This window comes from Homo sapiens, chromosome 5 (assembly GCF_000001405.40).
Source record: "Homo sapiens chromosome 5, GRCh38.p14 Primary Assembly".
Classification (NCBI taxonomy): Eukaryota; Metazoa; Chordata; class Mammalia; order Primates; family Hominidae; genus Homo; species Homo sapiens.
Window position 1 is genome coordinate 161,846,181 of NC_000005.10, and position 25,664 is coordinate 161,871,844.

Consider the following 25,664-nt stretch of genomic DNA (forward strand, 5'->3'; position numbering starts at 1 on the left):
TTTATTTTCAATTTGTAGAAGATCATAAAAGGACCTGCAACAGTTTAGCCAGGAGAACACTAAAAATTCAGATTTTTATAACTGTTGACTTTCATTAAAACAAGACAAAACTGTGGAATTGCATTGTAGATGAAGTAAAAGAATAATGTTTTCTAATCGTTAACTCAGGATTTCATTATTAATTATAAATCTCATTAAATTCAGTTTTATTCTCCAAACCACTCAATAAATTAATTAATCAATGGATAAGTAAATAAAAATTGGGTAATGACACATAGGGAAGCTGTGATGTTTCTTCAGCGAATATCTTTAAGAATACATTGGCATTTATTATATCTGAACATAACAGGCAATTAACTACTGCCCAGAAACAGGGCTATCTTAACATAATCTTCAAATCTCTCTTCCAAAAGTTTATCTCTAAAATCACTTCCCAGTTGACACTTGACCACAAAACTCAGAAGGTAACCAAGCCCAACCCCTAATGTGGTCTTCAGTTTTATATTCCTTATTATTGCAATCACCTTATTTAAGTTTTAATCATTAAGCTGATTGCATTGCTGCACAAGGTCAAGAAGCACTTGTAGAATCAGAAACCCCAAAGTGGTTATGGACTGGCTACTCAGATTTTTTTCTTCACTTGCTCAGGCTCCGCCCCATCTGAAACGTCTTCTCTGCTAGGAACTCACTAGGAGAAAATGACCAGTGAGCTTACCAAAGCTCAGACCTTATCCACCAGAAACATTGTATGGGGCACCTCACCTTTTCAGCACCTCCTGCCATAACAGGACGGAAGTGCTGAAGGGACAGCTCCCAGTGTTTTAGGTCTTAGTAAGCGCTCCCAGGAAGACAGCACCCATCCCCTCTCTGCTACAAACAGCCATTCACAAAATCCGAGGAGGAAACCAAGTCATCCCTGATTCCTTGGAAATTTAGTTAGACTGATGTTGAAACACACCCCCCTTTCCTAGTGTATAATTATTTGTGGGTGGAGAGCTACCAGGGAGGGTAACAGAAGATGCCGGAGAAGGGGGGGGAAAAGTAGATGCGGATTTCGTCCTGACTTCTAAAAATTCCTCCTCTCCCTCTCCCATTTTCCTAATCCGAGAATGATGGAGCTCGAGGCAAAGGAATGATTCCGGAAATGGAGATATGATTCTCAAACCTAGAAATGATCGGAGTGATTTATTAGTTAAATATTCTTCGTCCAGGAACCCAGCACAATTCAGAGGTAACAGCGCCTGCGTTTTCTCCATGATAACATAGACAAACAGTTGCCTCCAAAGGTAAAAACCCGGTTCCGGAGGGTATTCTTGCTGTCCTCTAAGCTACAGAAGAAGGTGGGGTGGAAAGCGCTCCCAACCTGAGAAAGTGCGAAAGACTCTCTAAATCCAGTAGCCAATTTCCTACCTGCCAGAACTCTTTCCTACCATCCGTCACCATTCGTGACTCTGCAAGACACGGGGACTTAGACATATGTGTGGGAGTGTGTGTGTGAGGGAGAGAGGCGAGACGAGTGCTCTCCCCACACGTGTAACCCTGCATCTCCCAGTTTCAGAGCTTGCGTTCATTCATATGCAGGCAGTGGTTTAATATTTGATCAAAGGTAGAATAGTTGCACTAAATAGTTGTATTTTTAATGGGCTCACCTTAAAATCGGGTGTTCATAAATTGCAAGTGTGAAAAGACTCTAAGTGCAGTCCGTATGTCTCTCACCCTTTCTACCCTTCCCTCCCCCATTGCCGCTCCCCCCAAAAAGAGAAGCTTGCAGCAGATTGTAGAAGGATTTGAGCCTGCAGCTAGAGAGAAGGGGATTAGGGCCAGAGTGGTGCAAGTTAAATTGTGCTGCATATAAAAAATGGGCGGATTGGTCTCCAGATCCAGAGGCTGGTACCACCTTCCTTTCTAAAATAAAATCTCTCTGGCATGAAGTCACCGCCTATTTCACATCCGGTTTGCCCTGGGACGTATTACTACTGTCTTGGTAAAGAGAAATCTTTTGTTGTATAGCTGCAGATTGGATATTGGGAAGCAAATTTGGGTGTGAAATCTTCAGCAAAGGAGCACGCAGAGTCCATGATGGCTCAGACCAAGTGAGTGAGAGGCAGAGCGAGGACGCCCCTCTGCTCTGGCGCGCCCGGACTCGGACTCGCAGACTCGCGCTGGCTCCAGTCTCTCCACGATTCTCTCTCCCAGACTTTTCCCCGGTCTTAAGAGATCCTGTGTCCAGAGGGGGCCTTAGGTAAGTGCGACTTTGGACCACGATACACAGACAGAGCTTTGAACGTGGCTTTTCCTAGCTGGAGAGACAGGAATGTTATAGTCGGGGGGGGGGGGCGGGGGGAGACGGGGGGAGAGAGAGAGAGAGAGAAGAAGGAGAGCGAGCGAGCGAGCAAGGGAGCGAGCAGGACAGGAGCCTGATCCCACAGCAGGTAGAAACAACGAAATGTTTTTCTTTCAGGGTGAAACCGCAGCAATATAAGAGCATTATTATTATTTTTTTCCCGCTGTCTTTCTTCTTTTCTTCTCCTCTTTCTTAGGCATATTTGAATGTATTCCGCAGGGTGGGTGGTGGCATGTTGTTTTGGTCTTTTATTTATTTATTTATTTGCAAGGGGGAGCTGGGGTGAGTTGGGGAGGGGCGTCGGGGGCCATCATCTAAAGTTAAGACGCTGGGACGGAAAACCTGTCTCACTGTTCCATCATCCTAGGGAAGGCACGCTCTTGTCCTGGCTGCAAAATTGCCTGTTTTTCCCTTTCCAGTGGACGCTGGTGAAATGCCCTCTTGTGTAGGGGTCTCTCCCATTCTGAACACGAAAACTCAACTTAGTCTTTGATATGGATGGCATGGGATGGTAACGTTTGGAGCGTGTGTCTGGGGGAGGGGGAGGTTGAAGGTAGAAAGTGGTAAGACTGCAGCTTAGCCTTTCTTTTAAACTATTATGTTTGTATTTGCAAGAAACTTTCTTAACAACTGAAGTGCCATGATAGGTTTGTTTTTCTCTTTTAAAAATGTCAGAAGAGGGCAAAAATCTATGGTGCCTTGTCAAATGGTTTTGCTGTGTTTTGTTTACCCATTCAGATATTCAATCTTTTTAAAAAGATCAACAAAAATTAATAGGGCTAAGAAAAGTTGTTTTTCCCTTGTAACAAACGATGAAGATTAGTAAAAGGGTAAATTAAAATTTTGCAATTTAGATGTAGCATTTTAACATAATATTTATCCAAGATTTCTTGTCATAGTCAACTAATCTGTTTCAAAACCAGTCACTAAATTACTAAATTAAGGAAAAGCTATGACGAGGCTCAGAGTTCTTATCTCTAGACCATTTCGCTCTAAACATATTATGTTTCATTGCTTACAAGCCTGTTTGTAATGGTTTTTAGTGATTTAAATGATTTCCCGAGACTGCAGAAAGCATTTTGTAGATGTATTTAAAGGCATACCACATTAAACTATAGAGGGTTTAATGAAAAAGAAGCTTTAAAAGATTGCAGTCTATTAATCACTTACCCTACAAAGAAATATAGATTAAATACTTTGAACATTCCTTATATTATGACTGGAATTAATTACAGCACATTAAAATGTTACCATAGCTGCTCCTTATCCAGGTAGTGCATTGAATTTCGAAAACTGACTCCACACATAGACTATATACATTTTTAATTCTCTAAGCTTTCTGTACTCTTCCAGTTCTCCAACATTCCACTACCAAGTCTAAATTCAACAATCAGATGGTGATTGATTGCACTTTACCTAAGAGGTAAAAAGATCCCTTTATTCATGCAAAGCAAAGCACTCCAGCTTCCATCTGTTTGAGATGAAACATTTTCTAGCAGCAACCTGGCAGAATTTGAGAGGGCTTGAAAGATATGTGTGGGCATGTTTGTGTGCATTTGTGTGTGTGTGTGTGTGTGTGTGTGGTTTGTATGTGAGAGAGATCAGCACATGGCTTGACTATAAAGTGTGTCCTTTAGCTTCACAGAAACATTAGGAAGCATGTTTAACAAAGCAGTCACAGGAACAGAATAAAAGCACGACTCCGGCATTCAACAGTGTGTTTCCTATGTTTTTAAATAGAAATAAATACAGTTGCTTCTGAAATCAAGGTACCTGCAGAATTCAAAGAGGAATTCAGCCATCACAACATGTTAACCTATCCCCTCCAATCCCTAAATATGTTCTTCCTGTTAGAGACACCAGCTTAAAAATTTTAATGCACAGTTCACTGTGGAAACTGAAATCTTAAAAGTCCAAATATTTAGATGATAAACAACAAGAAGAGAATAAACCAAACTATATTCTAAATATAAAACCTAGAGATAAACAACTCACAGTTTTTATGTTGAGCAATACTGTCACCTGAAAGCGTTTCAGCTTGTATTCTTTTACAGGAGAATAAGGACACTGATATATTTCTGAATGGAGAAATGGAAGGGAAAGTGGAGAATGGATGGTCCAGGTTTCCATTGCTTCCAATGAGGTGTCATATCCCAGTGAGGTCATTTCCTGACTTCAAAGCATTCATCTAAACTGCCTCAGTCAGCCCTGGTGGTTATAACCTGATGTTTCTTGCTAGAGACATTGATCTCTACTTATTCTACTTTTCAGCTGCTCCAGCCCGCGATGAGGAAAAGTCCAGGTCTGTCTGACTGTCTTTGGGCCTGGATCCTCCTTCTGAGCACACTGACTGGAAGAAGGTGGGGACACTTTTTTAAAAATCTGCATGAAAATTTCTGTAACTTTTCATTTATTTTATCGGGGGAAGAAAATTGTCCTCAAATGAATTTATGACTAAGGGAATTCAGAAAACTTAACTGCAATAATTTCCAGCTAAGAATAAAGAGGAGCAGTATGAAACAAATCATTATGTTTGCACGTTAGTTAGAATACAATTAACAAGCCATTGTTAAGACATGTATTAATTCAACATTTAAGTCTTAGATTGAACTTCTCACTGTTCAGTTGGAACTGAACAAAACGTGCGGTTTCCTAATTCATAGAAAAAGTTACCCCAATTAGTGGTTGCATACTGTGTAACCTGATTTAACAACAAGAAAATTTCTAGCCTATTGTAAAGATCATAGAGTAACTTTTGTGTTTATAGAAATGGAAAGTTTTAAATAATATCTGTTATTTGAAAATCACGTCTCTCTAAATGCATATGCATATCACGTTTTGAAATTGTTATCTATATAACTAATAAAAGTGGACTATATGAGACAAATATTTAAGAACTTTGGTAAAATCAAATTTCCCTATTAAAAAAACAATTACTAATTGTTTATAAAGCTTAATCATAGTCAAAATATGTTCTAATGATCCAATCAAGCATGTGAAATTAATATAATAGAAACTATTTACATGACTAAGTATTACAGATTTTTCTTTATCTGCTTTTGTATTTCTTGTGTAGCCTATTCCTGTGACCCATAAGAAGGTCAGACATATAATAAAAACATGAGTTTATTCAAAATGTAATGGCAAGGGAACTCTTAAGAGTTAAGATAGGGAGATGGAATAGTCTGGAAAGACATATGAATTTAGGAAGATTTATTTTAATTCAGAAGTTTTCTGTTGTTGTTTTTTGCTATTGTGTATGGTAAACACTGACAGACAGGCATTATTATCAGATATCCTTAATGAGAGAAGTTAAATGTCTTTACTGCTTTTGAAAAATTATATGAAGTGTTACTATTGCAATGACCTGTAGATGGAGTTAGTGCACAGTGTTTTATTATATAGTGGTTCATATGGAATCAAAATCAGGTAATGTAACTGGCATTTCTCTTCAAAATATATATTCAGTTTAGGAAACACTACATTGGGATGAGTGTTTAATACAAAATGAATAAGCATCTTATTCGTAGGGTTTTTTTCTGGCAATTAAAACTTGACATAGTAAGTTAGAAGTAAAGATGAAATGTCATTAAAAAATCACGTAAAATAAAGATTTCCATTCCAGCTGGGAAAGCAGAACTGGTCTTGGGGAAAAGGCAGTGGTCTCTTTGGGCATCTGCATTCCAATGCAAACAATTGGTGAAAACATTTGTAAGACAAAACCAGGAAGAAAAGCATTTTCTGAATTTTATATAAGCTGTAAAAACTTAGAGGGTGTAGATAAAGGTAATAAACACTCTATATTTTAAGAATTGTTTTAATAATTTAAGTTTATTTAGTCATGTTACCCCATTTCATCTTTTATTTCTTCTTATTGTATTGCTTTCTTCCTCAGAGTTCCCGATCAGGGCCTCCTCACAACTTAGGGTGTTCTAGCATTTATTTTCCATCTTTATCAAGATGACCTTCCAGCATCCTTGAAAGATGCAGGAATGGCAGTTGATTTTGTGACAATGAGTTTTTATAAATAATTGCATTCACAAAACTATTTTTGCCTTACTGTTGTCTTCTGCCAATGAGACATACTGGAAGACACTTAGCTTGTTGAAAATTTGATTTAAAAAAACAGCAAGATGTTTAATTTTGCCAAAAGAGAGTAAGCCCTCAATCTGCATGGCATCAATGTTGAAATTAGGAGAATGAAAAATTGTTTCAAAGAGACACATTACATATATCCAATATTATGGATAGCCTTTAGTTTTAGTAACTTTATCAAATTAAAACTTTATCAGAATAATAGCCATTGCATTTTGCCGATACGAAATTAATTACCTGCAAAACAGTGTTTGTTTTTGAAATGATTTTTTGATCATATATCTTGCTGCTGTCAAATAAGTGAATTCTGGCTTCAAATGTTACTATTTTTCTTATATTTATCAGTAACATCAACACACAGGAATGAAGCCCAAAGTATATTAAGTAGAAAATACAAAAGTGATATATTTGTGGCAGTTTCTTAGTTTACACCCTATATTCATTTTGCTTTTGTACTCAAGGTCAGAACTATGATTGAAATATATCAGTAAATGTGATCCATCCTAAGATAGAAAACAATTCTCTCAAAGGATTTTGGAGTTGTCATGCTAATCATCACATAAAATATGATTCAAGGAGCATAGATAGCAATGTGATTGATGTAGGAAATACACAATTTTTGAACTGAGGTCACTATGTGGTCGAAACACAAAGACTAATAATGGTAAGGGACACAGGCTACATCTCCAACTAGCAACGTTTAAATATAAATAATTATCCCAATATAGAAGAAGAAAATAAAGTTTCAGACTAGAATTTGAAGAAAGCTAGGTTCTAGGTCAAGGTTTGCTCACAAATAGGTGTGCCTTCTTAAACAAAACACTAAAACTGTGCTACAGCTTAGTCAACCACAAATTAAGATTATTGAACTTGATCTTTCTAAAGGTTCTTTTTACATCTGAGACTAGAAATAATAAAAATTAATTAGATGTTTGAGCAGACAAATTTTAATCATTGGGTCATGAATCTTAAGAGGAATGGAAATTTGCACACTGATGTAAAAATATAATTGTCCTAAGAAATGTTTTACCTAAATCTCTTAAAAGAACATCAAGAAAATCCCACCAAAACACAGACCTATATGAAGTGAATGAAGGAAAGGATGTTGGTAGGTAAAAACTTAGGCTTTTGCTGCATGTTAAATAAAAAAGAAAATCAGTTGTTTTGGTAACTCTTTTTAATTTGGAAAGAACTTTCCTAGGTTTGTTTTCTCTATTTTTTTTTATGTGCATTAGCATTCTTGCTTGCTCAGAGAAGACGTGCATTGCAACGTAATAAACATGATAAGAATTCAAAAAGTAAACAGACAGAAGTCATTTCTTACAATTTTCCTTTCACATTTAAAAACTGAAAATTAAAAATATAATTAAATGCCCAGAGTTTAAAAATAACATTCCTTTTTACCTTGTGAAAAAATAATTTTCAAGTTAAGATTCAGTAGAAACCAAAGTAGAAAAACTGAGAAAGGATTTATTTGGAAAGAGGTTTTAGTAGAAATGTATAATTTAGCTATTGCTTCTCTTTATGTTTTTTTTCAGCTATGGACAGCCGTCATTACAAGATGAACTTAAAGACAATACCACTGTCTTCACCAGGATTTTGGACAGACTCCTAGATGGTTATGACAATCGCCTGAGACCAGGATTGGGAGGTAGGTTGCATTATTGTATTTTTGTTTTAGAGAATAATATGAGATCTTTACTATCACAGCCTTAATTTACCTCTAAATGGTCAAATAATAAAAATGGTGACATGTAATTTAATGACAAATCTATTTTTAATGGATCACTCTATGTTAATTCAAGTTACTCTGTAGTTTCATATCCATACGTAGTAAAAGGCAGACACAAACTTCTAATAATGACACGAAGCAGATGCTACATTTATATGATAAGCACAGTACTTTCTGTGTAACGATTTTATCATATAGGTAAAAACTGGGATAATATTCTATCTTCCAGCACAATGACTGCAGCTATCTCACCTGGTACTGGTATGTTTGCATTTAATTCCAACAGGATATCTTTGATTCTATTGGTTCAAACATTTATTTTGGAATATTTCATATTGATCCACTATTATGTGTTAAATTGCCACCACCTCTAGGATAATAGGGGAATGAGATAGATGGTAGTGTTGTGGTTTAACTGTGCATTTGAACTTATACCCTAATTTTCTGTAATACAATTTTATTTTACTTGGTATATCAATTACTCGGTTATATTGATACATTTCTGCTTAGGAAGAAGACAGCACTTAATAACATAATATATATATAACAATAAGAGTAAATAGTTCTAGGAATTGCACACATTTGAATAACACTTGAATAAGATAATCAAACTATCTTATTTGGTTAAACAAAGACTAATGAAGCCAAATCAAAATATTGATCTCAGAGTAAAACAAGTGAAGCAAGGAAATAAATTTTCTTTCAAAGTCACACAGAAAACCAAGGTTAGAATCCATGATTCCCAACTATAGCTGATACTGAACCTTTCCTAAAGCATTTGTAGTAGCTATTTAATAGCAATATTTAAATAGTGATTAAATGGCAATATTAAGACAGCCACTTCTTCTTCATTTAGACAGCACAGATAAGCAAAGAATAAAAAGCTTACAAATTCAAACAATGATTTTTCAACTAAATGGTTGCATGGATTTACAGTTACTTTTAAATAAATATTTTGCACAGTATAATGACATGGTTGTGTATTATGGGTCTATTTTGAAGCTGCCAAATGTCATTAGAGTCTCAGAGGTTTAAGGGAAACTGCCTTGGCAAAGACACAACCCAAATATATGTCAAAGGTCTTACCAGGTGTCCTTTCTAATCAATTTCAAACATTCATTTTAGGACATACTATACAAATTTCCCCAGGTTTAGACTTCACCAAGTTTATATTGAAGTTTTTAGAAAAAATTCTTTAAGTCAAAATAGAGTGGTCACAAAATGGGGAGCCTAATTTTGTATATGATATGTTAAAACACTGCTTGTGTACATTTAAACATCTCAATTGGCTTCAAATTTTTTTTAATTTATAAAATTTGCGATAAATTACAAAACTAGCTAGATGAGGAATGTATGAAAAGAAGAAATAGCCAGGCTAGTGATATAAATTTTACATAGCAAGACTTTTGAAAATACTGGTTGTAATGTATCTGATTACTTTACCTAATCTCCTCCCTACCCTATGATCTCATTCCCTAAAAAGTCAGCAGAATTTTACAACATATTTAAAAAATTTCTCTTCATCCTAGTTTAGAAAATTCTATTTAATATTTTGGCATGTAAATATGAGTATTATTTGACAGATTTGTGCATCATCTTCAATTTATTAAATAGTTTTACACACAAACTGTTAAAATATTAGCCATGTGGTTATATTATTGTTCAGAGTGCATGTAGCAAACTGTGACTGTTCATTTCCTTTTAATTGCATAGAATAACTCTTTAATAAATGTATACTTTAACCCATTCATCAAATAAATTTTAGGTGAAATTATTTTAACTAATTCTCATATGCACTCCTAGACCCTGGAGAGCCATAGAACTTGAAGATATAAAGATTAGACTGAGAGTATATTGAAAAGCTAATTTTCAATACTGGTGATACTGGTAGATTTGCTTACAGGAATAACTACATTAATTCATACTGCCACACTGCTATTTTTGTAGAATCTACTTTTATCATCCAGTTAATCCCAGAAAATAACAAAAATAGATATGTATTTAAAGAGCAGAAATAGTAGTTGTCCAAGTATAGACAAGCTATCTTCCTTTTAGTGAAATGAGCCTAATATGCTACAATAATTCCAGGACTTGAGAAAATTAACAGTGGATGTGCTTTTATCTTTACTAAAGATGGTTTTTCTGATATTTCTGATTCCTGGTAACAATGCCTTTTGAGGGTATGATAGAAATTAAAACAAACAAAAAAGTAGCTCAAATATTTTCTCTATTTTTATTCTAAACATCCTATTGGAATTTAGTACACTTAAATGTGATGGATTTGAGATTTATGAAAAAAACTTTGATACTGATTAAACTTTTTTTTAAATATTCTTTTTTTGGAATTTTTTTTAATCCTTAAGGAATAAAATGGCACATGTTTATTACTTATATCTACAGAGTCATCAACATTTTAAAGTACATTTTGAGAAGGTATCTGTCATTAGAGAACTATAGTTTAAAATACTAAGTACAGTTTTAAGACATCTTGAAAAACATAACCAGCCATAGACTTAGAGAAATGTGATAATACCATGATAGCTGGCTGCTATTAAGTTGACATTATTGTGGCTTTTTTTTTATTTTTGCAGATTTGAAGTACTTAATTTTATTCATCTACCATGAATTTTTGGTACTTTAAGTATGACATGCATCCCAGTAGATCCCAATTGCAAAACAGACCCTCCCTTTTTACTTTTTTTTATAGGAGCCATTTGCCTCCAGATGAAAAGACTATGTAAAGGAAATAAGTGAGATTATCATTAGCTTCTAAGGGAGTAAAAGTTTTCCCTTAGTAATTTTATGATCACAGCTAGGATGATTTCCTCTTGCAACATAAAGGTGCCCACTGTCTTCTTTATTATGACAAAAGTCTTTTTTTATATAAAAGTAACAACATTATGCAAAAAACGGGGATTTTTGCTTCTGAATGTCCTCAGGAAATAGAAAAATGTGATAAGCTGAGACTTGAGACTAATACAAGAAACTCCTGTATTTGCAAATCCATCATGACCTGTTTTTTAGAAACACACACTGCATCAGAAGGTATAGCACTGTTCTTAGTTTATATGTACCTTGGATTCAATAATTAGAAAACAAAATATATAACTTGGTTAATCTAGATGATAGGAATCAGTTTGCAAATACTGTAAAACTATTTTAAAAGACTGCCTTTTCAGGGATAAGAGCAACCATGCAGAACTGCAAATAAAAGGATGACTAATAAAGAGGTATCTCCAGGAAGGGATTTTTAAAGGTAGGAGAGCTACAAAGGATTAGAATACGTGGAATTCTAAAAATTTAATATGGTCTATTTGGGATTGTAAAGAGAAAAATAAGATAGCTATGTTCATAATTTAAGTGCAATGTCAATGAAGACACTTTTAAATAGACTTGAGTTAAAATAATCAGTATCCAGAAAATAAAACTAAAAATTATCAGTAATTACTGGATTCATTCTTGTCCATAATCACTTTATTTGGTGGCAAGGTGTGGGGGGCTGCTACTTTCTTACAACTAGAAGCTGAGCAATGTATTTGAAAGAACTCTTACCTAAAGCATGGTCAGTGTAGAAGAATAAAATAAGGAAAAAAGGATAAAAGTCAGAAAAAATGGGAAGATGTGAAAGAAAAAAGTTAAAAAAAAAAGGAAAGCAAAAGAGGATAGAAAATAAAGAGAGAACAGAGGGGAGGGAGAGGAATTGAGGAAGTGAAGAAGAGCAAAACAGAGGAAATGAAAAATGAGAGGAATTAATCTCATGAGCCTGGGGAGACTCAAGTGTCCCTTGATCAATTTATATGGCTCTTTTAGTTTTAAATCAGGACGAAACCAAAATTTTCCCAGGAAATTCATTTTCCCAAGTTTTCTCCTCTTTGCCCGTATTATAATAAATGAAGGAAGCCTGGATGTTCTCCAGCTTCCTAAAAAATTAAATAATGCTCCTGCTGTACTGCACCCATCTGCGTGAAATTTCAGTCACTTTCATATTGGCTTCCCCTGCACTTTGGGCATAGGACAAAAATAATCCATAAACAGAGATTTGAAGCTGAATTTTGAAGGAAGATAATCAGGCTTTTATGGATACTTAATACTCTTCCAGTGATATGTTTCTCCTCCCTTTTGCCCCACCATATATACAGGCTACACTTTATTTACAATAAGCCAAAATCCCAGGTGAGCCACACTGATGTACAGTTTATCACTAAGAGGTGATGCCACCAAGCTAAGGGTTTTTTCTTCTTCTGTACATATGCTCATTTCCACATATCTAACTTACAAAAGATGTATTATTCTATAAACACATTCATTTCACTTCTTGGAAAACAAATTAGGGCAGATACTTCTTTAACTAGAACACAAACATGCTATAGCTGAAGGAATGAGGTCTTGAGTCACATTTTGAATTTCCGAAGAAAGACCTTTTCATCCTCTCTCTCCCTGTTAATGGTAGTTCCTGGAAATATTGTTATAATATCTGAATCAGTCTTCAACTTAATATCAGTGTATACTAACTTGGATGATAAATGCCCATCAAAAGTTTTGTCCTCAAACCACATAGATAAAGACAGCAAAGGAAACAGAGATGATTGTGTATTCCTAAAACGACAAATCCTGAGAGAAGAGTGGAGAGGCAGATGATAGAGAAGTAAGATTGTAGGTAGAGAATGGCCTACCTTTATCCCTGCTACACATTTAACAGATATTTAGTTAACATTTTCTTTTTCCTGTAAATGTTGTAGATTTGGATTTTTTTGGTTTTGGGGGTTTTGTTTTGTTTTCATTTATAGAGTTTCTTTGACAGCGTCAATTAGAAGAGCGTTAGTAACTGGAGCTGTCTCTGAATGTATTTTAACAGTAACATATTATTTTACAAATCATTTATGCCTCAGAGCAGACTTTCTCCTTACCATCATATTTTTTCCTAATCTTGAATTATTTATGCCAATATAAAACCTTTAAGACTAACCTTTAGCCTAATTGTTGCAAGAGATCTCAGCTTTAAGATGTAAGAATTCCCAACTCCTAATGCAAGGCAGCTGGGTTGGAAATTCCCTGCAGTTGGCAAGATGCTGTTGGCTTCTTAGGGAATTGGCTTGGGTCTTGGGTTCCATTTCTTTATGTAAAAGTAAGAAAAAATGGAAAACTAAGAGTGCTCTAAAAAGATCAAAGTATTTTTTGTGCAACTTTGTAAAATTTAGGTGACTCGAGGATAGGGAAAGCAGCACAGTTTAATTCTTTTAAAATTCAACTTTGAGCTGTCCCGGGATGATAAAATGCCTGATATTCATGTGATCTTTTGATTTTTTAATATCCCTTGTAACATTGAGATCAGAGAGAAACATTTTGTTCATGTTCAACTAATGTCAAAATATCTATTTTGTATTTATATTAAGAAAACAAAATTTCAAAAAATAGGACAAGATAATTTCAGTCACAAAGTGATAGCATTAGATAAAATAATCTACATTACTGACGATTTCCAAATAAAATTAAAAGATGGTTAGGTTTATCCAATCTCTTGTTGTTGTTTTTGCTGTGTTTACTTTACTAGAGAATAGCCTTTAGTATTATGTTTTGAAATTCTACTCTGGAATCCTTCCTTTTGAATTTGCTGTCGTTTTCTCTGTGGCTTTTAATGCAAGGTATGGAGCAGATGCTCAGACTTTGGCAAAATGCAATACATTTCCACAGAAATACTGTACCTAGACATTTCATAATTCAACAAATTATAGAGAAAAGGTAGTTACCAAAACCCCAAGAAGAATTGTTAAAATGAACAGAGAATACCTTTTAACATTTACTGGCTGAGGTCTACCATCAGCTCATGAAGCCACATTGTCTGATGAATTTAACTGAGCTACCCAAAGGAATGTTCTAGCGTGTTTAGACAACTTGCTACTTTCATCTTTTCTGTGGTATATAAACTATCTACCTGATCAGTGCCAATATTTTCCTGAGATAAAATGAAACTACTGCCATGTTTGTCTTTCTGTGCCTGCCTTATTTCACTCAGCATAATCACCTCCAGTTGCATCCATGTCACATGTTCTCACTTATTAGTGGAAATTAAAAATCAGAGAAATTAAACCCATGGAGACAGAGAGTAGAAGGATGGTTATCAGGCAGGGTAGGGTAATGGGGGGAGGGAGGTGGGGATGGTTAATGGGTACAAAAGAAAGTACAAAAAAGTAGGAAAAATGACTAAGACCTAGTATTTAATAGCACAACAGGGTGACTATAATCAATAACAATGTAACTGGACATTTTAAAATAACTAAAAGAGTATAATTGGATTGTTTTTAACATGAAGAATAAATGCTTGAGGTGATGGATATCCTGTTTTCTATGATGTGATTATGATGCATTGCATGCTTGTATCAAAACATCTCATGTACCACATAGATATATACACCTATTAGGTATCCACAAAAAATTAGAAATGAAACATTTACAAAAAAGTAACCACTGCAACTATGTCCAAGTTATAAGGTGCACAGTATTAGTAAACAGCCATTTTTTGTGCAGCTACTCTTGACCTTTTTATATAGTTTCAATTTCCTGTGTTGATTCCAGATCCAATGTGGGATTTTAACAAAATGTTGTCTATAGATCATTCCTTTTTTTTCTGGCAGAATCAGAATTCTGTACTTGAAAAATAACGTAGTGTTCCTGAGATGAGAATCTCATTTGCTATACGTCACAGAATGCCATTTTTGGAAAACTTAAGAGAAAGCAAGGCCCTAAGTATTGGCATATTTCTGTAAGATTGTTAATAGTATTATTCTCGTATAACAAAATGCTACCCTGTGAATGTGAAATAGGGTGCCTGAGAGTTATCACAGTTTGTACAATTTTGATCAAGACTTATACTGATTACTCACTGCATGCTTGTATCCAAACATCTCAGGTACTCCGTAAATGCATACACCTACTATGTTCTCACAACAATTAAAAATTATAAAAATTTAAAAAAGACTTCTACTGACCAAAAGAAACCCATTGCTCCAACAGCAAAATATACATTTTTTTCTAAAGATTAGCCCTATGTCCATAGAAACTGCTCATATTACAGCATATGGAGGTAATTTATCAGTGGAAATAAGATAAATAGCTCCTGCAATAATATCGACCTTTCTTCCTAGGACATGCTTGTATCATCTGAGTTCTTGGAATCCCAAAACACTGAAGAATCAGGGACTGGTCAAACGCCTTGAAACTTGGGTGTCTACCCCCATATCTAGACTTAGTAGCTGAATACAGCCAAAACTAAGTAGCTCTACATATCATCTAGGGGATAGTTTCCTGTTTTTCTGAGGCATTAATTGAATGGAGATGAAGGACAGGGGACAAAAATGTTGCTCCAATCAATCAGGTCAGCAGGGAGCTGGAACATTGCTTTATCCAGGAGTATACATTGATGTTTATGTAGGAGCCCAGGATATTTTCAGTTTCCAAACAGGACCATTTTAAAGTAGGGTTTTCAGATACATTTTATTATAATGACTAATATTAGTCCATTTAGTCTCCATGTGGTGCCTACCTCTGTGAATCAATAGACACAAAATAGCTTAAATAAGGCAATAGACCTCCATCATCAGTTATGAACCCATGGAACTGTTACTCTGAGTTCCTCAGCAGACAGCATTTCCGGGGAAAATATGGCCAATACCATATTAAACAAATGGTTGTGATAGGATTACTAACAAAATACCACCTACAATTCTTTCTTATTCATTCCCTCCTCCATTTTTTTTATTACAGTCACTCTTGCATTTCACTATTCACACAGCATCAGCTATCTTCTTAGACTGCAAGTTACATCATTTCATTTCATTACCCAAAGGCTTCCTACTGCATCAAAATAAAGGTCAACTGCTAGCTGAAATGCACAGGGCTCTTCAGATATGGTCCCACCTACCTCTAGATTGTCATCTTGTGCCATGATCTTCAGCATCACCAGGATCCAGATATACTGCACTTTCTGTTTCTTAAACATAACACATTTAACACATTTATTTTCACCTCAGATCCTTTGCCTCCTTCTTTTTTTTAATTTTTTTCCTCTCCTTAATGTATTTCCCTGGATCTTACTAAATTTTTCCCATCTTTAAAGTCTCATTTCAAGTTTTATCTCTTCAAATGACATTTTTTCAGAGCATTTATAATCTGAATTTAATTAGCAGAATGTGTATATATGTGTTTTTGCATAACTCTGTAGGTACTCACATCTCTATCCATCCCCTAATCGACCTAAAATATGTTTTTCCTAAAGTAAGTATGTGGTTTGCTACAGAGGAACAGAAGCATTTACAGTTTTACTCATCATTGTATTACTGTTACCTAGAAGAGTGCCTAAGTGGCACATAGAAAATGTTTAATAAACATTTATTACTAAATTAATGTACGCAATAGATGCCTCTCAAAGTGTTTTGGCACCACAGTGTTATTTGAACATCACTCCAATGCTATGTAGTCATTTGAGCAGGTATTATTTCTTCATCCAAAATGTAAGAATAGAGACTCAGAGAGATTAAAGTATTGCACCTAAAATCACATAGCTTGTTCTCGAGAAAAATCAGTTTAAATCTGAGTATTTAGATGCTTAATCTATTGTGCTTACTACTTATTTTACTACTCTGCTTTTCTCATTTTTGCCTCCAGTACTAATCTCATCTTTTTGAATTATCGCTTCAAAACATATGTTATTTCAAAACTTATCAGCAAGATATCAATATTGTAGAAAATTCCCAGGAAAAACAGATACCTGTTGTCTGGGAGTTAGGGGATGTAATATATAGTATTTGTGTATATATATATATACACATATACAGTGTGTATATGTAAAAGTGAGGATGTGGTTTGAGGAAAATGATTAAGTTTATATTTGAATAGAAAGTGGATGTGTTAGACTATTCTTGAATTGCTATAGAGAAATAACTGAGACGGGTAATTTATAAAGAAAACACGATTTATTGGCTCAGTATTCTGCAGGCTGTACAAGCATGACACTGGCATCTGCTTGGCTTTTGATGAGGGCCTCAGGAATTTCCAATCATGGTGGAAGGTGAAAGGGGAGCAGATGTATCACATGGCAAAAGCAGAAGTGAGAGAGAGAGCCACACACTTTTAAATGACCAGATCTCAGGTGAACTCAGAGATAGAGAGCTCAATTATCACCAAGGAGATGGCCCAAGCCATTCATGGGGATCCACCCCCAAAATCCAAACACTTCCCACCAGGCCCCAGCTCCAAAATTGGGAATTAAAGGTGCACATGAGATTTGGGCGGGGACAAATATCCAAACCATATGAGTGGATTTATGTGGATGGTGGCATTCCAGGAAAGGAAATTTTACTTGTTTTCATGTCTTTCTGAGTTTTTTAAACTTATATTTTGAAGCTTTTTTTTTTCTAACAACATAATGTATTATATAGTTATATACGCCTCAAGCGTACCCTACAGCTTTTGAAATATCTTAGAGTAGCAGCCCCAAATAATTTGGGGAAACATGGGTAAACAAGTTTGACCATATTTATTTAAGACATGATTTCTCAGAGACATTAGGATGTTAATGTTTTCAACAGTGTTAGAAAATTAGCAGAGTTTTCCAGCCACAGAAACTTCCCCCCTTGCTGCCCCGCCACTGGACACTTGCCAAGAGCTGATGACAAATCAAATGAAAGAATTTCTTGGGTATGTGGCAAAGGAGATATATTAGAGAGGAAAGTATAAGGAGGGGTTTATTTTCATTGTCATAAGCTATGTTCTCATTTTGAGCTTTTAAAAGGGTAAACTGCAGATAATTCCTACATCAAGGGGCTCATTTAAGCAGTTTGAAGTAAATTAATTTTTTTTTCTTTTATTATTATACTTTAAGTTTTAGGGTACATGTGCGCATTGTGCAGGTTAGTTACATATGTATACATGTGCCACGCTGGTGCGCTGCACCCACTAACTCATCATCTAGCATTAGGTATATCTCCCAATGCTATCCCTCCAAAAATATTGTATTGTTATTGAAGGGAATATCTCTGATTCAAAATTATTTTTTTAGCTGACTTACACATTATGTGTAGGGTATAACATGACCTTCTAGGGATAAATTTATACTGACAGTCTTAACTCTTCACAAGTAAATTGCTAAGGGAAAAGGGCCAGCTCTTGATTTCTAAAGGAAATGATCATTTTATAAATTCAAAGGAATTTATAAAAGGTGAATCACCTTTTTTATGTTATATGCCAGAGATGCAAATACCCTGGCATATAAATATTTGTACATGGCTAGAAAGATCCTCCAGGTGTTTAAGATACTCTTGGGAAATATATAGTGTACTTTAGCAAGACTTATTAACTCTTTAAGGACTCAAGAGTACATTTTATAAATGTTTGTTTTCTTGCATTAAATCATAACTGAGTTATCCAAATTATTCCCGGGGAAAAATATAAATTAAAAATAATTTAAAAAGTAAATAAAATAAAATAAAATAAAATAAATATAAAAAATAAAAAAGTAAATGAACTGTTAAAGATACTGCACTGCATTTTTCAGAGCTAGAGATGAAAATTATAAAGTCATATTTTTCGTTTTCACCCCTCAACAAATTGTTCCTTTTCTGAAAGCATTGTTTTTCTATTTCTTGGAGAATGGCAGTATTTCTCTGGAAATGTCTGTGTTCAGTTATTATAGCACTATAATTAATATGCTTTATTGGTTGATGTATGTGCCATCAGAGAACAATATAATAAAATCACATGGAATGTGAAACAGAATATATTAAGTGAACTTTTTCTGTGCCATAATATGTTCTTCTCATCCTGAAAATTGAAGAGACTTATATGGGATGTCATATTTTCCCCAGGGAATAATTGGATAACTCAGTTATGATTTAGTGCAAGAAAGCAAACATTTATAAAACATACTCTTGAGTCCTTACAGAGTTAATAACGCTTGCTAAAGTACACTATCTATTTCCCAAGAGGAGCCTAAATACCTGGAGGATCTGTCTAGCCATGTAAAAATACTTAAGCTTAAGCTATACCAACATGTTAATGTATTTTCATTACAATGTGAAGCAGTTTAGTATCATTTAGGCAAGTATGTCCACTCTTGAAGAATTCATTAGGCAGCAGCTGAGTTTTCCATAAAGTCTGCCTCCCAAAGTGGCATATTTAGGCTTCATTCTCCATAGAAAATATTAACTGTGAAATTTTATGTGTAAGCAGTAAATTATCAGGACTACACAGTGGACCAATTTTAGAAATAGCTAATCAAAGACAATCAATTTCCCATTTGGGTGTCAGTATGTGGTGGTGAGATCTAATAAGGACGGTTGACAGACACTCACTCGCCCAATTTCCTGCTTCAACAGAGCGTGTAACCGAAGTGAAGACTGATATCTTCGTCACCAGTTTCGGACCCGTTTCAGACCATGATATGGTAAGTGGACACTTTATCTTTGCTTTTCTTGAAGAATTTTTAAAATTTAACTTTTCAAAGAAAAATATAAACTAAGTTCTTAGGGAGCAACCTGAAAAGTCTTGGCTATACTTTTGTGTCTTTCTGTGTGTAATATGTAATATGTAATATAATATTTATACAATAGAAAAATACTCATTTGCATTCCAGATCAGACCTATTTCCATGATTTTCAACCACTGCAGTCATCTTTTTTTAAAAAATATTTTAAATGATTGGTTTGCCTTGGTTAATACCCCACAAGCCATACAGTATGAGTTATGTTTCATTTTAGTTAGCAGGCCATGTTGATTCAAGGATGCTGTTTTCAGGCAACCAGAACTGTTATAGAATGGCCATAAACATTATGATTTCTAAATTATTTTTGGCTACTAAAAACTAAAAGGAAATGAGTGTAAAAGTTGGCCAGAATTAGACAAAAATACTTAAAACACACCACCAGGAAACATTCTGCTTCATTGCAAAAAGCATTCATTAAAGTATTATCCAGAGTGGAAATACAATGAATCTATACCTGCTCTTTTTTTCTAGTTCAAATAAATTAACATGAATTTCTCTTCTGTCTGATGGGAGTTATAGAGCTCTACAGAAATTATATAATATTCCTGAACTAATAACAGCCAAGGTTCTATATAAGCAAAACATCATAAAGTGGTCATGGAAACATACCATTATGAATATTTCAAAGATACATTAATTGAATACTATTTTTGAAATGCCTCATGTTAGCACCAGCTTACTGTAAAAGTATTTTGATTTCAAAATAGCTCACAGAGGGTCAGAATAAAACTTACAGAAACTATGAATGGCAGAGTAAAAGCCCTGACAAGTTCTGAGGTAAAACAAACAAAACTATATTTTATCTGGTGTTTTCACAATTGTATTTGCCCAAGACCTTTTTTGTCATTTGACCCCTGTTTATATTCTGTAGAACTAATATTCTGTGAAGTGAACGTTGGGAAATTCTGGCCAAGAGGATAATCAGATATTTTAGATTTTAAGACAAGTTTTGAAATATGCCAACTGGACAAAGAAAAATATGTGGAGTATATAAGAGGTAACAGAGTGGTAACTAAGAATGCAGATTTCTGAACCAGATTGCCTGGTTTATAATGCCAGCTACTTCACATAGAAGGGTATATCCTTAGGGAAGTTACTTAATATCTCTCCAGATCAGTTTCTTCATGTATAAGGTGGGATTAATAATGCCACTTAACAAATTTTAGCCATTACTAATATGCAAGAAATATAATATGAAAGTCAATCATACTTGTGAATGTATGCATCTTACGATTTATTTTGTAATTATGGTCAGTCTGTAGACCACTTTATTGAAATAACATGTGATACAATGTGTTTTACTAAATTGACAACTCTCTGAGGACTCATGATTCTCTCATGTTGGAACTCAGTCTTCCCACACTATTCTCTCATGGTACTTTTATAGTTAAGAATGCTTATTAGGTCCCAGTCATGTTTAAGGTCAAATAAAAACTGTTCTGCCTGTATTCCCATAAATGATTTTGCCACTCTCTGTCACTTGTTCCCAATATTAACTATTTGTTTTAGTCCTGCTTTCTGCAAGGCAGTACAGTGTGGGGGTTAGCAGGGCTGGCTCTGGGATTCAAGCTGGTTGAATCCAAATCTCACCATCAGCAGCAGCATGACCTTGAACAAATTGCTTAAGCTTCTAAGGCTCAAAGTCTTTCAAATGTATATATTATTATAGTTGCCTATTCCTTCAACATTTTTATAAGTTTTAAATGAGATGTGCAAATAAAGTGTCTATCAATAGTGCTCAATAAATGATAGCTATTATTATTTTTACCTCTGAGCTCCTTATCATGCCATGCAGACCTCATGGAAATTTCTTCTACTCTTTACCCATCTAAATCAAATACTTCCGCAGAGGCCCAAATCAAGACCCAAACGCTTTATGAAATCATTTTTATTAGTCCAATAAAAAATTGACTTTCCGTTTTTGTATTCTAATCACATGTATTGACTATAAAATACCTTTTAGCTTTCGGCCACATATATAGCACTGCTTTGTAAACTTATTTCTCTTATTTATAAATAAATATCTTATTTTCTTAAATTGTTGCCAAACCTGTAAAGGCACATGTGTTTCACATCTTTCACAGTATTAGTTCATTGTTATTTTAGAGTAAATGTTAAATTACTCTTTTCTTGGTGATAGGTTTAGGAGCCTATAATATTAAAAAAAAAATGAGGTCTTGTGGGACCTAATAAGTTATGCCCTCTTTCTTATCTGTGTTCTGAAACTTTGAGATATAAGACAATAGGGTAGAAGGCATGGGGAATTAAAATGTCATATATATTGCTAATAATGATGATATTACAGAATGTGACTTATATCTGTAGACAAGTAGATTTGCAGAGATTAGGCACCAGAATCAACCAGATTAACCCACCCAGTCATAGGCAGTGTTGACTTTCCTTTGCTGGGGTGTACATTATGCATGTAAAACCTCCAGCATGGAAGAGCACAGGAGAATTTTTCACTCTTATAGGCAGCCAGCAGCCAAATGGAAAAGACAAGAGAAAAGGACTGAAATAGGTAAAATTGATGTTTTTTTTCCAAATTAACCTATCAGATTAAATCCCCTTCCTTCCTTCTTTTTTCCCCAGTAGAAGAATTGGGGAATTGGGAGCATACAGAAATTTCCTTTTTCTCATTGATGAAAACATCAAGAGAGGGCATGCAACATTCAAAAACATCACACACTGATGGCAATACTCATCTTACTACTTATAATAATGTAAAATTTGCTTAATGGCCATTCTATCTCAGTCTCTGGCACCTGGCATGGTGCTCACAGAGTCAATGTCCAATAGGAGTTGTTAAAGGACAATGCCCAAATGAAGCCACAGGCGATCAAAAGCCTTTCTCTTTTCTTAAAAAATAGGTGACATGCCTTTGAGTTATTGCTTCAGATTAATTGTGATTCCATAAACCAATGTTGGAGTTTTTAAATCTTAGAATAGGCTTTTTGATACACCTTCAAACCTGTGATTATAATCTACATTTTATATTTTACATTTGGTCAAATATCAGGAATAAGGAACAGCGTGTCCAACCAACAATATTCCCTATTGCCTAAAACCTCTGAACAAGACAATGTTTCAATTGCTCTGTCAAATGATCAGATTAGCCATAGGTCTGCCACTGGTTTGCTAGTAGCTGGTAGAAATTGTATCTGACCACCTTGCTTTAGAAGATTAATCATTTAAATTACATTATAGGAGAATTGTGTACAAGAAGAAGCAGCATGATTTAGAAGCAATCAAAATTAGAAGGCAGAAAGACAAAGCTATTTTTCAAAATGGGAAAATTTTGTAGTTTTTAAAGTGAGAACTAATAAATTAATCTACGTTAATAACATAACAAGATTTAATGCTATTGAATGCTTACAACACATTAGGCACCATGCTAAATGCTTTCTAGAAATTTCATCTAATCCTTGTGCAAACCTTTTAGCTAAGTATTATTCTTGTCTACATTTCCTGGAGAAGGAAAGTGACCTGCTAGCTAAGTGTAGCAACTTGAACCCAGGTTATTTAGCCCTAGAGACTCCATAGCTCCCAAGGCATCTGACTTCATCTGGAATAGCAAACAAAATTAGGACAATTCTCTAACTTTATTTTAAAAACCATTAATTGGCAATCAAACAGAACATTCCCAGGGCACTAGGTTCTGACAGAAATATCCAGGCAGTACAATCACAGAGCCTTGTTTTCCATAGTGCTTAAAATGTATTAAGTCAAAATACACACAGATGGTAATAAATGGCACAGGCAGGAACACTTCAATACAATATTTATTTAGGAACATAGCGGATGTTTTGTCCCAGATCTTCAGACTAAGACTCACATTCTCCAGGGACCTACACTATTGAACAGAGCAACTCATACTTTTCACTTGAGTGGTGGGGGCTGGAGCCTGGAAACTTGAGCAAATTATTTAGGAGAGGTTTACCTTTGTCCAACCTCTCTTCCACGGAGTCCCCTCTTCTGCATTTTGTTTTTAGTTAACTTGGTTTCGGCCACCTTCTTACTTTCCTTAGATTTCCTTTCCTACAATCCTTCTAAAGAGAAACACATTTTCATGACCAGCTACATAAAAACCTAATATAAATTTGTGTTGATAAAATAATAAAATGGGAGACAGATAATAATTTCTAACTTTTACTAACAGCTTCCTATGTTCTAGGCACTCTTAAAAGATATTCTCACAAGTCTCAACTCACTTCTCACGATTGCAGGGTGAATTATCCCATTTTATAGATTAAGAAACTGGGGACTTAGCAAGCGTAAAATAATTACCTAAGGCCACTCAGCAGGTAGGTTCAGAACTTACATCCATAGTCATTATGCTATAGTTCTGCTGCTCGCCTCTCTCTTTTTCTAGCTTCCTTAAGAAGGGGCTTTGGCCAGGCACAGTGGATCACTCCTATAATCCCAGCACTTTGGGAGGCCGAGGCGGGCGGATCACCTGAGGTCAGGAGTTTGAGACCAGCCTGACCAACATGGCGAAACCCCATCTCTGCTAAAAATACAAAATTAGCCAGGCCTGGTGGCGCATGCCTGTAAATCCCAGCTACTCGGGAGGCTGAGACTGAGCCAGGAGAATAGCTTGACTCAGGAGGTGGAGGTTGCAGTGAGCTATGACCGCGTTATTGCAGTCCAGCCTGGGCAACAAAGAGTGAAACTCCTTCAGAAAAAAAAAAAAAGGAAAAAGAAAAAAAGAAAGAAAGAAAGGAAGAAAGAAAGACAGACAGACAGAAAGAAAGAAAGAAAGAAAAAGAAAGAAAAAACAGAAAAAGAGGGGGTTCTGGCTAATCTTCATCCAGAAGCCCACTCTTGGTCTAATGAACTGTGCCCATGGGGCAAGGTCATCTTATAGGACTAGCTTCTGGGAACTACCTGCTGCTACCACAGCAATCACACAGGGAGAGTTCTCAGAAATGGGAGACCAAATATTTACACTGTTGGTTAGGCAGAAACTAATTTTCATCAACTGCTTTTATTTCATTTTGTATTTCAACTTCTAACAGTGCAGAAAATGGAAATGAAGATTAACCAGCGAGTGTTGCTCTGTGTGTGTGTGTGTGTGTGTGTGTGTGTGTGTGTGTGTGTGTGTGTGTGACTGGTACAGTATTTGAAGGAAGAATGTCCTAAATGAATTTGGGGATTCCATTGTCTGTCATTAGCACAAATAAAGCTGGTGACAAACACAATAAACATGTGAACATCAGGATGTTGGCAAGTCTTGACATAATTTTTTGAAATTATTGCCTTTGGGATACATCTTGTCAAAGATTTGGTAATACATCTAGTTTCAGTTTAGTTTATACTTAACATTTATTTTATTTTCATAAAACCTCTTTGGAGCAAGCAAATAAAATGAACCAAAGGCTCGATTCATGGGAACGTGGTCACCTTCAGCATCCTTGGAACTTTGATTTGCAGGTGGCCATTCATTCCTTCTGCTGTTGACCAATCTAAAGTCATTCAGTTGGACAGAAACTAGAGCTTATATGGCTAAGACCTGAGTAACAGAAAATTTCGTCACATATTATATCCCTACCTCACAAGCTTGTCTGTCATCCAGAGAGGAAAACCTGCACATCCTGAGGTAGATCCATCCACCCAGTTTTCCTGACAGGCATTGGCACATTGTATCACTTGCTGATATCATCCACAGTCTCCCTTCCCATGGAAAATACTATTCTATGCCCATCGTACACCTTCATGAGTTTTTCTTACAGTGCCCAAGCTTAAACAGTCCCTCCTTTGCTGAATTTATTAGGTGCTTAAGAGATATTTGTTGGTGAGTAAATTCCCTTTATGTATCTATCACAGTGCCTTTCATCTGACACTTCCAGACACAAAATCCTAACCAGGAAACAAGGTAACTTGTCTTGTCTACAAAGACAGTCTGTCACCGGATTACACCTCCTTGTTTCTATCTCAGTAAGCAATTAGTACTATAT

The 25,664-nt window shown here is 35.2% G+C and overlaps 1 protein-coding gene and 1 long non-coding RNA gene across 6 annotated transcripts in view; one reads left to right on the forward strand and one right to left on the reverse strand.

The window, feature by feature from the left end:
- Positions 1 to 4,413, reverse strand: part of LOC105377696 (uncharacterized) — a 41,745-nt gene extending 37,332 nt beyond the window's left edge. Inside the window, exon 1 of the long non-coding RNA XR_941158.4 lies at positions 4,340 to 4,413. This is a non-coding gene — a long non-coding RNA (uncharacterized LOC105377696). The remainder of the gene's footprint in view (positions 1 to 4,339) is intronic.
- GABRA1 (gamma-aminobutyric acid type A receptor subunit alpha1) overlaps positions 1,011 to 25,664 on the forward strand; it is a 52,781-nt gene continuing 28,127 nt past the window's right edge. The window contains exons 1-5 of one of the 5 annotated variants that reach the window (NM_000806.5): positions 1,011 to 1,231; positions 2,011 to 2,242; positions 4,616 to 4,704; positions 7,978 to 8,090; positions 19,541 to 19,608. In NM_000806.5, the coding sequence (NP_000797.2) occupies positions 4,631 to 4,704; positions 7,978 to 8,090; positions 19,541 to 19,608 (255 nt within the window). In that variant the 5' untranslated portion in view covers positions 1,011 to 1,231; positions 2,011 to 2,242; positions 4,616 to 4,630. Of the gene's footprint in view, positions 1,232 to 1,550; positions 1,607 to 1,939; positions 2,243 to 2,375; positions 2,433 to 4,544; positions 4,705 to 7,977; positions 8,091 to 19,540; positions 19,609 to 25,664 lie in introns of those variants that run through there. The other 4 variants (NM_001127643.2, NM_001127644.2, NM_001127645.2 and 1 more) reach the window with 4 other exon arrangements.